This window comes from Homo sapiens, chromosome 5 (genome assembly GCF_000001405.40).
Source record: "Homo sapiens chromosome 5, GRCh38.p14 Primary Assembly".
Classification (NCBI taxonomy): domain Eukaryota; kingdom Metazoa; phylum Chordata; class Mammalia; order Primates; family Hominidae; genus Homo; species Homo sapiens.
The window spans coordinates 136,733,413-136,748,923 of record NC_000005.10 but is presented as its reverse complement, the minus strand read 5'-3'; the positions used below and the strand labels follow the sequence as shown (position 1 = coordinate 136,748,923).

At 39.9% G+C, this 15,511-nt stretch overlaps 1 long non-coding RNA gene across 4 annotated transcripts in view; it reads right to left on the bottom strand.

The window, feature by feature from the left end:
- CTB-1I21.1 (uncharacterized) overlaps positions 1-13,993 on the bottom strand; it is a 28,574-nt gene extending 14,581 nt beyond the window's left edge. For all 4 annotated transcript variants that reach the window (NR_188339.1, NR_188338.1, NR_188336.1 and 1 more), the window contains exon 1: positions 13,919-13,993. This is a non-coding gene — a long non-coding RNA (uncharacterized CTB-1I21.1). The remainder of the gene's footprint in view (positions 1-13,918) is intronic.
- Between the last annotated feature and the right edge of the window lie 1,518 nt (positions 13,994-15,511).

The window sequence follows — 15,511 nt, the reverse complement described above, 5'->3', positions numbered from 1 at the left end:
TTGGAAAGAAGGCAAAAAGGTGAATAGAATGTTCTTTCAATGTCATACTGGGACATTGTTTAATGGATTCACTAAACAATAATTTAAATATCTAGAATAATGTACCTGTTTTTTATTTTGATATTCACTATTAACTATGAAGTCATACTCTGATGTTAAATGTTTTATTAGTCTGTTCTCACACTGCTGTAAACGTAGTACCCAAGACTGGGTAATTTACAAAGGAAAGAAGTTTAATTGACTCACAGTTCCACGTAGCTGGGAGGCCTTGGGAAACTTACAATCATGGTAGAAGGGGAAGCAGGTGAAAGAGATCATGTGAGAGTGCAGGAAAAACTACCATTTATAAAACCATCAGATCTCGTGAGAATTCACTCACTATCATGACAACAGGGAAACTGCCCCCATGATCCAACCACTTCCCATCAGGTCTCTCTCTCCACACCTGTGGGTTACAATTCAAGATGAGATTTGGGTGGTGACACAAAACCTAAACATATCAAATGCATAATGTAGGTATCTGTGTGGCAGAAAAGATAAGTTTCAAGGTCACAGTTTTATTGTCCTGTAGGAATTTAACAAATTAAATCTCCATTCTAGTATGTTAGTTTTCTATTGTTGCTATAGCAAATTCCCACAAATGTTGTGGCTTAAAACAACTCAGATTTATTATTCCATACTTCTGAATGTCAGAAGTTTGGTACAAGTCTTACCAGACTAAAGTCAAGGTCTGTGCATGCTTTGCTCCTTTTTGGAGTCTCTCAGGAGAGAATCTGTTTCCTGCTCATGTGAGTTATTGGAAGAATTCAGTTCCTTACAGGTTTGTGACTGAGGTCCCCATCCATATTCTTGCTAAGTATAAGTTGAGGGATATTCCCAGCTTGTGGAGGTCATCACGTTCTTGGCTCATGGTCCCCTTCCTCTAACTTCAAAGCCAGCAACAGCAGATCCTTCTCACATAGCATCATTCTGACCTACCATCTGCCTTCCTCTTCTATTTTTATTCTGTGGTTAAACTGAGCACACTCAGATAATCCAGGATTATTTCCCATATAAATATCCTTAGACTAAATTAATTTTTAAAATCTTTTTTGCCATGTAAGATATTATACTCACAGGTTCTGGGGATACAAGTGTTGGGGGATCTTTTTTCAGCCTACCACAATATAGTAAATACAGTCCATGTTCCTCAAAATGCTCTTTTATTTACTTATTTTTTGTGTAAAAAATAAGTTTTATTTTTCATCCTTACCATATTTTAAAGAGATAGTTTTCTTAGTTTCATAGTAAGTCTTTTTTAAAAATCTATTTTTATTCATTTTTGTGGGTACATAGTAGGTATATATATTTATGGGGTACATGAAATGTTTTGATACAAGCATGCAATGTAAAATAAGCACATCAAGGAGAATGGGGTATCCATCCACTCAAGCATTTATTCATTGAGTTGCAAACAACCTAATTACTCTCTTTAAGTTATTTAAAAATGTGCAGTTATTATTAATAATAGTTGCTATTTGTGCTATCAAATAGTAGATCTTTTTTATTTTTTCTATTTTTTTTGTACCCATTAACGATCCTCACCTTACCCGCCCCTTCCTACTACCCTTTCCAGCCTCTGGTAAACATCCTCCTGCTCTCTATGTCCATGAGTTCAATTGTTTTGATTTTTAGATCCCACAAATAAGCGAGAACATGCAATATTTGTCTTTCTGTGCTTGGCTTATTTCACTTAACGTACTGATCTCCAGTTCCATCTATGTTGTTCATATTGTTGCAAATGACTGAATCTCATTATTTTTTATGGGTGAATAGTACTTCATTGTATATGTGTACCACATTTTCTTTATCCATTCATCTGTTGGTGGACACTCAGGTTGCTTCCAAATCTTAGCTATTGAAAACAGTGCTGCAGCAAACCTAGGAGTCCACGTATCTTGTCGATATACTGATTTCTTTTGTTTTGGGTATATATCCAGCAGTGGAGTTGCTGGATTATATGGTAGCTCAATTTTTAGTTTGTTGAGGCATCTCCAAATTGTTCCCCATAGTAGTTGTACTAATTTACATCCTACCAAGAGTATACAAGGGTCCCCTTTTCCCCACATCCTTTCCAGCATTTGTTATTGCCTGTCTTTTGGATATAAGCCATTTTAACTGGGGTGAGATGATATCTCATCATAGTTTTGATTTGCATTTCTCTGATGATTGATAATGTTGAGCCCCTTTTTCTAGGCCTGTTTGCCATTTGTATATCTTCTTTTGAGAAATGTCTATTCAAATCTTTTGCCCATCTTTGATCAGATTATTTGATTTTTTTTCCTATAGCTTCTTATATATTCTGGTTATTAATTACTTGTCAGTTGAGTAGTTTGCAAATATTTTCTCACATTCTGTGGGTTGTCTCTTCTCTTTGTTGATTGCATCCTTTTCTGGGCAGAAACTTTTTAAGTTGATGTGATCCTATTTGTCCGTTTTTGCTTTGGTTGCCTGTACTTGTGGGGTAATAAGAAATTTTTGCCCATACCAATGTCCTGGAGATTTTCCCCAATGTTTTCTTATAGTAGTTTCATAATTTGAGGTCTTAGATTTAAGTCTTTAATCCATTTTGACTCTATTTGTTTATATGGTGAGAGCTGGGGGTCTAGTTTCATTCCTTTGCATGTCTCTAGTCTGATTAGCTAAGACTTCTAGCACTATGTTGAATAACAGTGGTGACAACAGGCGCCCTTGTTGTGTTCCTTATCTTAGAGGAAAAGCTTTCAGTTTTTTCCCATTCAGTATATTAGCGTGGGTCTGTTGTTTTTATTATGTTGAAGTATGTTCCTTCTATCCCCAGGTTTTGAGAGTTTTTATCATGAAGGGATGTTGAATTTTATCAAATGCTTTTTCAGTGTCAATGAAATGATCATATGATTTTTCTCCTTCATTCTGTTTATATGATATATCACATTGATTGATTTGTATATGTTGAATCATCCTTGCATCTCAGGGATAAATCCTACTTGGTCATGATGAATAATCTTTCTAATGTGTTGTTGGATTCAGCTTCCTAGTATTTTGTTGAGGATTTGTGCATCAATATTCATCAGAGATATTGGCCTGTAGTTTTCTTTTTTTGATGTGTCTTTGACTGGTTTTGATATCAGGGTAATACTGGCCTCATAGAATGAGTTTGGAGGTCTTCCAACCTCCTTTATTTTTGGGAATAGTTTGAGTAGGATTGATATTAGTTCTTCCTTAAATAGTAGAATTAGAAGAACTAATTGGTATTTGTTCTTATTTAAATATTTAGTAGAATTCGGTTTAGTAGAACTCAGTCAAAGCCATCAGGTCCCAGGCTTTTCTTTACTGGGAGATTTTTATTATTGTTATTATTATGATTTCAATCTTGTTACTTGTTATCAGTCTGTTCAGGTTTTGAATTTCTTTCTGGTTCAATCTTGGTAGGTTGTATGAATCTAGGAATTTGTCCATTTTTTCTAAATTTTCCAATTTACTGGCATATAGTTGCTCATAGTAGTCACTAGTGATCCTTTGAATTTCTGCAGTATCAGTTGTAGTATGTCCTTTTTAATTTCTGATTTTATTTATTTGAATATTTTCTCTTTTTCTCTTAGTCTGGCTAAAGGTTTGTCAATTTTGTTAAACTCCGAAAAACTTTTTTGTTTCATTGAGGTTTGTATTGTTTTTCCATTTCTATTTCATTTATTTCTGCTCTGACCTTTATTATTTTTTTTCTTCTACTGATTTTTGGTTTGGTTTTCTCTTGCTTTTCTAGTTCTTTAAGTTGCATTAGATTGTTTATTTGATCAAAATGCTCTTTTAAATAACTTTACCATCTTAGTTATTTCCTTATTGATGAATCAGTAATTTTGGATACATGTTGTTTCTATATTTGCATGTTTTTAAATTTTGGGGAATTGAAATAATTGTTGGTTTTTGAAGATTTGCTGAGATTGTCAAGTGGACTAACCTGCTAGTTTTCATTAAACTCTGAGGCATGGGAAACAAACCTGGGCTGCTGCAGCTCCGGCAAGTGATTTTGGCACCTACAATGGATCTCAAGTGGTAATAAACCTTCGTCTTTCCTCTCTCTCTCTCACACTTTCACTTGCTTACTCTTCTAATCATGTTTCTCTTTTTTATTTCTGGCCCTTGGACAGATTTAGCCATAGTTCTGATTTAAGCATGACCAATAGTCATTTGCCACTGGTGACTGCAATGATGGGACTCTGGCTGCATAGTGTGATCATTTGGTGATCTTTACTAGAACGATGGGATATACTCTCTTGGGTGAGAAATGAGAGATAATTCTGTTAGTCTTTTCAGTTTGTTTGACCATTTGTGAGCTCAAGTAACTAAGAAAATATTTTGTGCTTCCTGGAACTAAGCACATCCTTTGAGATCTGGATAAGTGAATGTTTGTATTTCTATCTGTTCTTGACCTGTGACTTAGTTTACAGAACTGAAACTGCAAGCTCTCTGTAGGTTTGTATGTAATTAAGAAAAGCTTTACTTCTCACTGTGAGTGTGAAACATTTTCCTTCTCCTGAAGGATATTAATAAATTAGATTACAATGTCTCTTAAATTAATTAAATGCTTCATAGGACTTTAAGGAATTACATAGATATAATATTCTCAGAATTCCCAGTATTAGTTTATTCTCACATTGCTATAAAAAAACTACCTGAGACTGGGTAGTTTATAAAGAAAAGAGGTTTAATTGATTCACAATTCCACAGGCTGTACAGGAAGCATGACTTGGGAGCCCTCAGAAAACTTACAATCATGGCAGAAGGCAAAGGGGAACCAAACACATCTTCATATAGTGACAGGGGAGAGATGGTGAAAGGGAAGCACTACACACTTTCAAACAACAATTAGATTTTGTGACAACTCACTCACTATCAGGAGAACAGCAGGGGAGAAATACACCCCCATGATCCAATCAACTTACACCAGGTTCCTCCCCTAACATTGGGAATTACAATTTGACATGAGATTTGGGTGGGGACACAGAGTCAAACCATATCATTCTGCCCCTGGACCCCCCCAAATCTCATGTTCTTCTCACATTTCAAAACACAATCATACCCTCCCAACAGCCCTCCAAAGTCTTAATTCATTCCAGCATTAACCCTAAAGTTCAAGTCCAAAGTCTCATCTGAGACAAGGCAAGTTGTTTCCCTCTGTGAGCCTGTAAATCAAAAACAAGTTTGTTTTTCTATGATATAATGGGGGTATAGGCATTGAGTAAATTCTCTCATTCCAAAAGGGAGAAATTGGCCAAAACAAAGGGATCTACAGGCCCCATGCAAGTCCCAAACCCAGCAGGGCAGTTCTTAAATCTTAAAGCTCCAAAATAATCTCCTTTGACTCCATGTCTCACATCCAGGCCACATTGATGCAAGGGGTAGGCTCCCAAGGCCTTGGGCAGCTCTGCCTCTGTGGCTCTGCAGGGTACAGCCCTCATGGCTGGCACTGAGTGCCTTTGGCTTTTCCATATGCACAGTGCAAGCTGTCAAAAGACCTACCATTCTGGGAGGTGGAGGATAGTGGCGGCCCTCTTCTCACAGCTCCACTAGGCAGTGCCCAAATGGGGACTCTGTGTGGGGGCTCCAGCCCCACATTTCCCCTCCACACTGCCCTAGTGGAAGGTCTCCATGAGGGCTCCATCCTTTCAGCAGGCTTCTGCCTGGACATTCAGGCATTTCCAAACATCCTCTGAAATCTAGGCAGATTCCCCCAAACCTCAACTCTTGCCTTCTGTACATGCACAGGCCCAACACCACTTGGAAGTCAGCAAGGCTTGGGGTTTGCATCCTCTGAAGCAATGACCCCAGCAGTACTTTGACCCATTTTAGTCACAGCTGGAGCTGGGGCAATTGGGATGCAGGGTGCCTTGTCCCAAGGATGCACAGAGCAGCAGGGCCCTGAGTCTGACCCACAAAACAATTTTTCCCTTTTAGGCCTGCAGGCCTGTGATGGGAGGGGCTCCTGCTAAGGTCTCTGAAATGCCCTGAAGGCATTCTCTCCATTGTCTTGGCTATTAACATTCAGCTCTTCTTTACTTATGCAAATTTCTGTAACCTTGAATTTTTTTTTCCCAGAAAATGGGTTTTTCTTCTTTATTGGATGATCTGACTGCATGTTTTCCAAACTTTTATGCTCTGCTTCCCTTTTAAATATAAGGTCTAGTTTTAGGTCATTTCTTTGGTCATGCAAATGAGCATAAGCTTTTAGATGCAGCCAGGCCATATCTTGAACACTTTTCTGCTTAGAAATTTCTTCCACCAGATACCCTAAATCATGTCTCTCAAGTTCAAAGTTCCACAGATCTCTAGAGCAGGGGCACGATGCTGCCAGTCTCTTTGCTAAAGTGTAGCAAGAGGGATCTTTTATTCCAGTTCCCAGTAAGTTCCTCATCTCCCTATGAGACCACCTCAGCTTGGACATCACTGTTCATAACACTATCAGCATTTTGGTCAAATCATTCAACAAGTTTCTAGGAAGTTCCAAATTTCCCTCATCTTCCTGTCTTCTTCTGAACACTCCAAACTGTTTCAACTTCTTCCCATTACACAGTTCCAAAGTTGCTTTTACATTTTCATGTATCTTTATAGCAATGCCCCACTTCTTTGGTACCAATTTTCTGTATTAGTTTGTTCTCACATTTCTATAAAGAACTATCTGAGACTGGATAGTTTTTAAAGAAAAGAGGTTTAATTGACTCACAGTTCCACAGGCTGTACCAGAGGCATGGCTGGGGAGGCTTCAGGAAACTTGCAATCATGGTGGAAGTAAAGGGAAAGCAAGCATATCTTCACATGGTGACAGGAGACAGAGAGCAAAAGGGGAAGTGCTACACAATTTTAAACAACCAGATCTTGTGAGAATTCACTAACTATCATGAGAACAGCAGGGGGAAATCCACCCCCATAATTCAATCATCTACCACTAAGTTCCACCCCAACATAGGGAATTACAATTAAACATAAGATTTCGGTGGCGATACAGAGCCAAACCATGTCATCCCCCAAAATAAAGAAGCTAAACTAATACTTTAAATGGGCTAACCTACAAAAATTCTCTCTTACAGAAAATGCTAGCTAGGAGGCATTTTCATAAGAATCAAAATTCAAGTAATCAAGATGAATCCATGTCCAAATCAGGTTGATTTAATAATTAGGATTAGCAACAGTTACATGTAATTTCCTATGGTTTTATCAGTGTGGGGTATAAATATAAGATTTTTTGAAAGTAAGGTTTGGTATATTTTCTTTTATGTGAAGATACTAGTTAATCTGAACTTCCTAAACTTTTTACACTAATTCATTTATTAGATTAGCTAATATTAGCCCTACATAATATTTAGGATTGTGGGAAAACAAAATTTTCAAATAAATTGAATTAGAGTTTTTACAAACCTTTTCTATTAACAGCAATTATATGTGTAGCATATCTGTTTGAACATAATTTCTAACACCCTCAGTAAACTTTGAATCTATAAACTAATATTAAATTGATAAAGGATAATGATTAATGAAGAATCTTTGACTACCTGGGTAATTTCTAAGTAAAATAGAATACAGAAATCTCGGTTACTGAGTGTCATCTTAACATCTAAATGGGTATACTTTTGCTTCCTATTTGCATATATTATAGAGTGACTGTATCTTTGGATCTTGTTAGTGGAAGTGTTTCTTTTTGCCACTTGGAGAAGGTGTAAAAGGCATGTGGATGGCAGTAGGAGGTTGTATTATATGTTCCTCTATGCTTTTGGGTCTGCCTAAATGCTTGTGTATGACAGATAATTCTTAATTACATACTTACTTACAAGTTCTCTTTTTAAAATAGAATTTGTTTATAAGTTTTAATGAATATAAATGGTTAAGACTATACCAGGGTCTGGGCATGGTGGCTCATGCCTGTAATCCCAGCACTTTGGGAGACTGAGGCAGGCAGATCACTTGAGCCCCGGAATTCAAGATCATCCTGGACAACATGATGAAACCCTGTATCTACTAAAAATACAAAAATTAACTGGGTGTGGTGGTGCGAGCCTGTAATCCCAGTTACTCCGGAGGCTGAAGCAGGAGAATCTCTTGAACCTGGGAGGCAGAGGTTGCAGTGAGCCGAGATTGCACCACTGCACTCCAGCCTGGGCAATAAAGTGAGACTCCACCTAAAAACAACAACAACAAAACAAACAAACAAACAAACAAAAAACTATACCAGGCATTATGGCAAATAAATTCAACTATTTGCAAGATCATGGGAAAGGAAAATGGCAAGGATCAAAGAGGTAGTTTTGACCTAAGTAAAGTATCTGGTTGTTCCACATGTGAAAAAGAATAATGGGAGACAAAACTTGAATATAGAAAGTTGTAGAGGGTTTTTAGAAATTGATTTATAATACTTACAAATGATGAGTCTGAAAGAAGCCAAGGAATGTCCTCAAATTCTGGAAAAGTTTGCATAGTGTTGATGAGCTCATCCATAAGTTTAAACAAGGGGGGTGAGAGGAACCTGAGAATCTTCACTGCTAAGTCTGACATTAATGAAAACCTAGAATATGATTTCTCTCTTTTAAAGTGATAGATTTGTCTTAGAGTATTTATTTCTGCTCTTATGAGGGAAAGAAAAAGGTTATTTTCTACACCCTGTGTTATCTGTCTGGATAGCAAGAATTCAAAGTCTCACCAGAATAATTTTCTGTTCTTTGTGTGACTTTATTATGCCTTTGATTCTAAAGAGCCAAGATTCCATATTCTTGTGTCATCTTTTTCAATGTTTATTTAAAATATCATATGGTCTCTTTGATTAATAGGTAACCAAGCTATTGTTTCTATTTTAATCAAGTGCCTAAATATCTTCTCATAACTCTTGATTTTGTCATTCCAAAATCAGAGCATAATTTAGAAAAATAATCAACATGTCTTTTTACACCTAATATTCTTTTTTTTTAACTTTTAGTTTAGGTTTGGTGGTACATGTGAAGGTTTATTATATAGATAAACTCAAGTCATGGAGGTTTCTTGTACAGATTATTTCATCACCCAGGTATTAAGTGCAGTACCAAATAGTTATCTTCTCTGCTCCTCTCCCTCTTCCCACCCTCCACTCTCAAGTACACCTCAGTGTCTGTTGTTTTCTTCTTTGTGTTCATAAATTGTCATCGTTTAGCTCCTACCTGTAAGTAAGAACATGTGGTATTCGGTTTTCTGTTCCTGCATTAGTTTGCTAAGGATAATAGCCTCCAGCTCCATCCACATTCCCACATAAGACATGATTTTCACTTGTGTCTGTGTGAAAAGACCACCAAACAGACTTTGTGTGAGCAACAAGGCTGTTTATTTCACCCGGCTGCAGGCGGGCTGAGTCCGAAAAGAGAGTCAGTGAAGGGAGATGGGGTGGGGCTGTTTTATAAGATTTGGTTAGGTAGTGGAAAATTACAGTCAAAGCTGGTAGTTTTCTGGTGGGCAGGGGCGGGGGTCACAAGGTGCTCAGTGGGGGAGCTTCTGAACCAGGAGAAGGAATTTCACAAGGTAATGTCATCAGTTAAGGCAGGAACAGGCCATTTTCACTTCTTTTGTGATTCTTCAGTTACTTCAGGCCATCTGGACATGCAGGTCACAGGGGCTATGATGGCTTAGCTTGGGCTCAGAGGCCTGACATTCCTGTCTTCTTATATTAATAAGAAAAATAAAGCAAAATAGTGGTAAACTGTTGGGGTGGTGAAAATTTTGGGGGGTGGTGTGGAAAGGTAATGGGCGATGTTTCTCAGGGCTGCTTCAAGCAGGATTAGGGGTGACATGGGAACCTAGATGACTAAGCCCTTTAACTAGGCAGGAAATCATGTAATCTCACCTAGCTATAGCTGGGGAATCTGCCTGATAGTTCCATTGGGGATCCTTTCAGGGAACTGCTCTAATGCCTTCCTGGAGGTCTGGCTCATGGAGCCAGCAGTTGTCAGCATGAGATTGGGCCAGAGAAAAAACTCTTTCCCGTGCATCTGGGGAGAGGGTAGAAGTTAAGATGACATTTAAGTCACTCCAGGTTAAATTGTAGGACACAGTTAGATATCTGAATTCCTGTATATATTTAGTGGGGTCTGATGAGAAAGAGCCTAAACGCTGACTGATCTGAGAGAGGTCTGATAGAGAAAAAGGCACATGTACCCTGACTATGCCTTCAGCTCCAGCCACCTCTCTAAGAGGAAATTGTTGGGCAGGTGGAGGAGAGCTAGTCATGGAACTAAGCTGTAAGCTGGACCAGGTGTGAGGAGGGGAGGTGACCGAAGGATTATAGGGTGGAGGAGTGGAGGCTGAGAAAGAATTGAGACCTGGCTCACTCTGGTGACGAGCAGCCTGGGGAGGAGGGGAGAGGTCAGATGGGTCTGTAGAAAAGGAAGATTGGAAAGACTCAGTGATGCTTAGGGTTGGGACTGAGGAGGATTTGGGAGGAATTGCATTGGGAACAGAGACTAGGGAGGGAAGGAAGTGTGAAAAATGCCTGGATGTAAGGCACCTCAGACCATTTGCTCATTTTTTGACAAAAATTATCTAGGTCTTATAGGATGGAGAAATCGAAAGTGTCATTTTCTGGCCATTAAGAGCCATTGTCAAGTTTGTATTGGAGCCAAGTGGTGTTGCAGAAGAAAATAAAGCATTTAGGTTTTAGGTCAGGTATGAGTTGAAGAGGTTTTAAGTTTTTGAGAACACAGGCTAAGGGAGAAGAAGGAGGAATGGAGGGTGGAAAGTTGCCTATGGTGAAGGAGGCAAGCCCAGAGAAAAGAGAGAGTAGAGATATGGAGAGAAGGAGTGGGGGGTGCTTGCTCCCAAGAAAAGCGGAAAAGGGGTAGAGACACGGACAGAAGGGGTGGGGGGTGCTTGCCCCACAGAAAAGTGGAAAAGGGGTAGAGACACGGAGAGAATGGGTGGGCGGTACTTGCTCCCCAGGAAAGTGGAAAAGAGGTAGAGACATGGAGAGAAGGGGTCGGGGGGTTCTTGCCCCCCAGAAAAGCGGTACTTGCCACTAAGAGTGAAGGACCATGGCAGGCATCCCCGCATGGTCAGACACCTCTGAAACGTGGGTGAATAATCAAGCAGATGTCCCCGCATGGTTAAACACCAAGGGAAGACTGTCTTCCCAAGTCTGTGACTGGCGCTGGAGTTTTGGGTTCACGGATAAAATGCGTCTCCTGTCTCTACCAGAAAAGGAAAGGAAGTGAAATTCAGAGAAGGGAGAGATTGAAAGATGGCCCCAAGATTGAAAGGAGAAAGAGGTTGAGGGATAGTGAGAGAGGTTAGAGAAGAGAGTAAAAAGAGGCCGCTTACCCAATTTAAAATTGGTGAGATGTTCCTTGGGCTGGTTGGTCTGAGGACCCGAGGTCATAGGTGGATTTTTCTCACAGAGCAAAGAGCAGGAGGACAGGGGATTGATCTCCCAAGGGAGGTCCCCCAATCCGAGTCACAGCACCAAATTTCACTTGTGCCCATGTGAAGAGACCACCAAACAGGCTTTGTGTGAGCAACAAGGCTGTTTATTTCACCTGGGTGCAGGCGGGCTGAGTCCGAAAAGAAAGTCGGCAAAGGGAGATAGGGGTGGGGCTGTTTTATAAGATTTGGGTAGGTAATGGAAAATTACAGTCAAAGGGGGTTTGTTCTCTGGTGGGCAGGGGTGGGGGTCACAAGGTGCTCAGTGGGAGAGCTTCTGAGCTGGGAGAAGGAATTTCACAAGGTAATGTCATCAGCTAAGGCAGGAACAGGCCGTTTTCATTTCTTTTGCGATTCTTCAGTTACTTCAGGCCATCTGGATGTATACGTGCAGGTTACAGGGGATATGATGGCTTAGCCTGGGCTCATAAGCCTGACAATGATCTTATTTTTATAGCCATAAAAATGGATTTTGATGATTTTAGGATGATTCCATATCTTTGCTATTGTGAATAGTGTTGCAATGAACATTCACATGCATGCGTCTTTATGGTAAAATGCATTACATTCCTCTGGGTATATACCCAGTAATGGGATTGCTGGGTTGAATGGTAGTTCTGCTTTTAGCTCTTTGAGAAATCACCATGCTGCTTTCCACAATGGTTGAACAAATTTACACTCTCACCAACAGTCTATAAGCATTCCCTTTTCTCCACAGCCTCGCCAGCATCCATTATTTTTTGGCTTTTTAATAATAGCCATTATGGCTGGTATGAGGTAATATCTCATTGTGGTTTTAATGTGCATTTCTCTAATGATCACTAATATTAAGCTTTTTGTCATATGCTTGTTGGCCACATGTCTGTCTTCTTTTGAAAAGTGTTCACGTCCCTTGCCCACTTTTTAATGGGGTTGTTTATCTCTTGTAAATTTTACACCTGACATCCTTTGAGATCTTCTAAGATTTAATGGGATGCTAGCAATAGCTAGTTCTTTTATGCATACTTCTTAATTAGCTCAACACAGTTTTAAAAGCTGAATGACCAAAATGTAGAGGTTCTGCATGTGAAATGTGGTGGAGTTTCTTGGGCCTGCTTTTAGCCACAGGCTAGAAGACAGAACAATTGAGTCTTTTAAAAAGCTCTACCTGAGATTCCTTAATAAAATTTCCAAACAGAAGTTAAATTATCTGGCCTTAGTAGTTGCTTAGTACTATATGCTCATGGAGGCTTTTATGGTTAATTAATACCTCTTGTTTCACTTTTGTAAATAATCAAGCTAAAACACCATGAGACTGTAACGCCAAAGGTTCTTACCTTAGCTACGCCAAAGATTTAGTGTGACGGCAGCCCGTGGTGAGAGACAGACACGGATTGGACCAAGAGAAAAAAAGCTGTAGGCTTTATTGAACAGAGTGACAGTACAAAGCTTCCACAGTGTGGAAGGGGTCCCGAGTGGGTAGCCAGTATTAGATTTTTTGATCACCTTTTAAACTCTTTAAGGCGGGAAATACGTGCAGTGGGAAGATGTTACCAGAGCGAGAAACAAAGACAATTAACATGTCTCAGATCTTGAGGAAAACCGGAATTGCAACTTAAGTTTTATCTACTTTCTAACCTTGCAGCTGCATGGCAAAGGAGACAGGATCTCACAGGATTTTACAAATGTGTTTATAAGGAATTGTAACTGGGAGCATAGATAAGGTCTGCTGGTCACAGAAAAATGGGCTTTTAACATTCCTTTTAGTTTCAGAGGAGGGGGAAGGGAGAGAGGGAGAGAGGACACAGGGAAGCTTACAACAAAATTTTTGCTGTTTATAGCTTTCTTGGGGAAGAAAACACATGCACAAATTCTGATGTTAGGAATATTTTAAGCATATATCTTCAATATTATTCATCCAAGACCGAAGTAAGTCCTGATGCAAAAAATGAGTGAGTTTCACAGCTTTCTGGGCCCCTACTTGACCCAGGAAGCCCAGCTGACACCTCCTTTCAAGACCATCAGTTTTTTTGTGATAGAGAATAATCTTTGCAGATTATTTATGATCAAACTAGGGGGACTGCTAGGAAAAAATCTTTTAAAACTTAGAAATGAGGCAGAAAAGTGAGCACCATGTCCTTTCAATGTCATACTAGAATATTATTTCATAGGCTTATTCAAAGATTAATTATATGTGGGGATATATCTGCTTTTAAGGGATTAGATACAATAAAGTTACATGTAACATAGATTTCTCTCTGTTAAAATAGATAATCCTAAAAGTTATATTTTATTGTCCTGTATGATATTCCAATTTTCTGTCTAACGGCAAATTTATTTCAGAATGCCTTCTCTCCTGGATTATGTAAGAGTCCCTTATTTTTTAAAATGCTCTTTGAACCAGCTTTACCATTTTACCAACTCCCTCATTATTAAATTAATAATCTTTAACACATAGTCACGCTCTTAATTGTTTGGAAATTATAATTGGACATACCTTGTGTTGCAGGATGGAGAACCTGGTAGAAGCAGCCTCTCTTTCCTTCTCAGCCCTAGGATGAGCCATTGCCCTGTTTCTTAATTAGATGGCACTTCATTTATCTCCCTCTATTGGCCTCCCCACTACACTACTCAGTCTCAGGGCAGTAGCTGTGGGTCAGCCAATCTCTCTCTGAGCCTCTTGTTAACTGTCTCAGAGTCCTAGGCCTGCATCACAATTCATGTCACACTTCTCGAGGAATAAATCAGTGGTTGTGCTCAGCTGTTCCAGACATAAAAAGGCCCAGGGAAGAAGATGTTTTTGTCATCTTACCCCACTCTGGAGCACCTACCACTGACAAGCCTGTTTATTTATTTATTCAATGATTTACTTAATTATCTACTTTTTCTTTATCCAGTGATTTATTCAGTATTCATTCCTTCATTAAGACCCCAGGAACTGGTATCAGAACTATAGTGGATGGTTTATTGACTTAATTAGGTGAAAGCTTAAAAGCTCCCATTGAAGAAATCAATAGTGCAAATACCTTTTTTTTGTATATAGGCAGACATTTCTATATGCAGCTAATTTAGTTGCTGTGACAAAAACAAAAACAAACAAACAAAAAAAAAAACAACACCCAGATTTTCTGCAGTTGAACACAAAATAAGTTGATTCTTTACTCTTGCAGAGTGTAGTCTGTGGTGGAAGACAGTCATTCAGGAACCCAGGCTGCCATCTTCAATTCAGCTGGCAGATGGGTGGCAACAGGAAATTGAGAATTAGGTGAGAGGTTTTCTTTTTCATTTTTTTTTTTTTTGAGACAGAGTCTCGCTCTGTCACCCAGCCTGGAGTGCAGTGGCGCGATCTCGGCTTACTGCAAGCTCCGCCTCCCGGGTTCACACCATTCTCCTGCCTCAGCCTCCTGAGTAGCTGGGACTACAGGCGCCCGCCACCGCACCCGGCTAATTTTTTGTATTTTTAGTAGAGACGGGGTTTCACCACGGTCTCGATCTCCTGACCTTGTGATCCGCCCACCTCAGCCTCCCAAAGTGCTGGGATTACAGGCGTGAGCCACCGCTCCAGGCCAGGTGAGAGGTTTTCATGGGCTAGGCCTGGAAAAGGTATCATCCACCCATATTCTGTAGGACAGAATGCCACGACAAAGTAACAATTACCTGCAAGGGAGGCCAGGAAACTTAGTCTAGTTGCTTTTCTAGAAAGAGAGGGCAATTAACTTGGTAAACAGCTGCTGAGTAACCGCAGCCTCTAATACCTAGAATCCCAGAGTCCATGTAACCCTCACTAACCTTGAATCTGGAGGTTGCTAGAAAGGGGCTGTCATGTCTGTTTAAAACCTCGGAGGCCTAGGTGGGCGGATCACGAGGTCAGGAGATCGAACCATCCTGGCTAACACCGTGAAACCCCGTTTCTACTAAAAATACAAAAAGTTAGCCAGGCGAGGTGGCGGGCGCCTGTAGTCCCAGCTACGCGGGAGGCTGAGGCAGGAGAATGGCCTGAACCCCAGGGGGCAGAGCCTGCAGTGAGCTGAGATTGCGCCCACCGCACTCCAGCCTGGGTGAAAGAGCGAGACTCCGTCTCAAAAAAAAA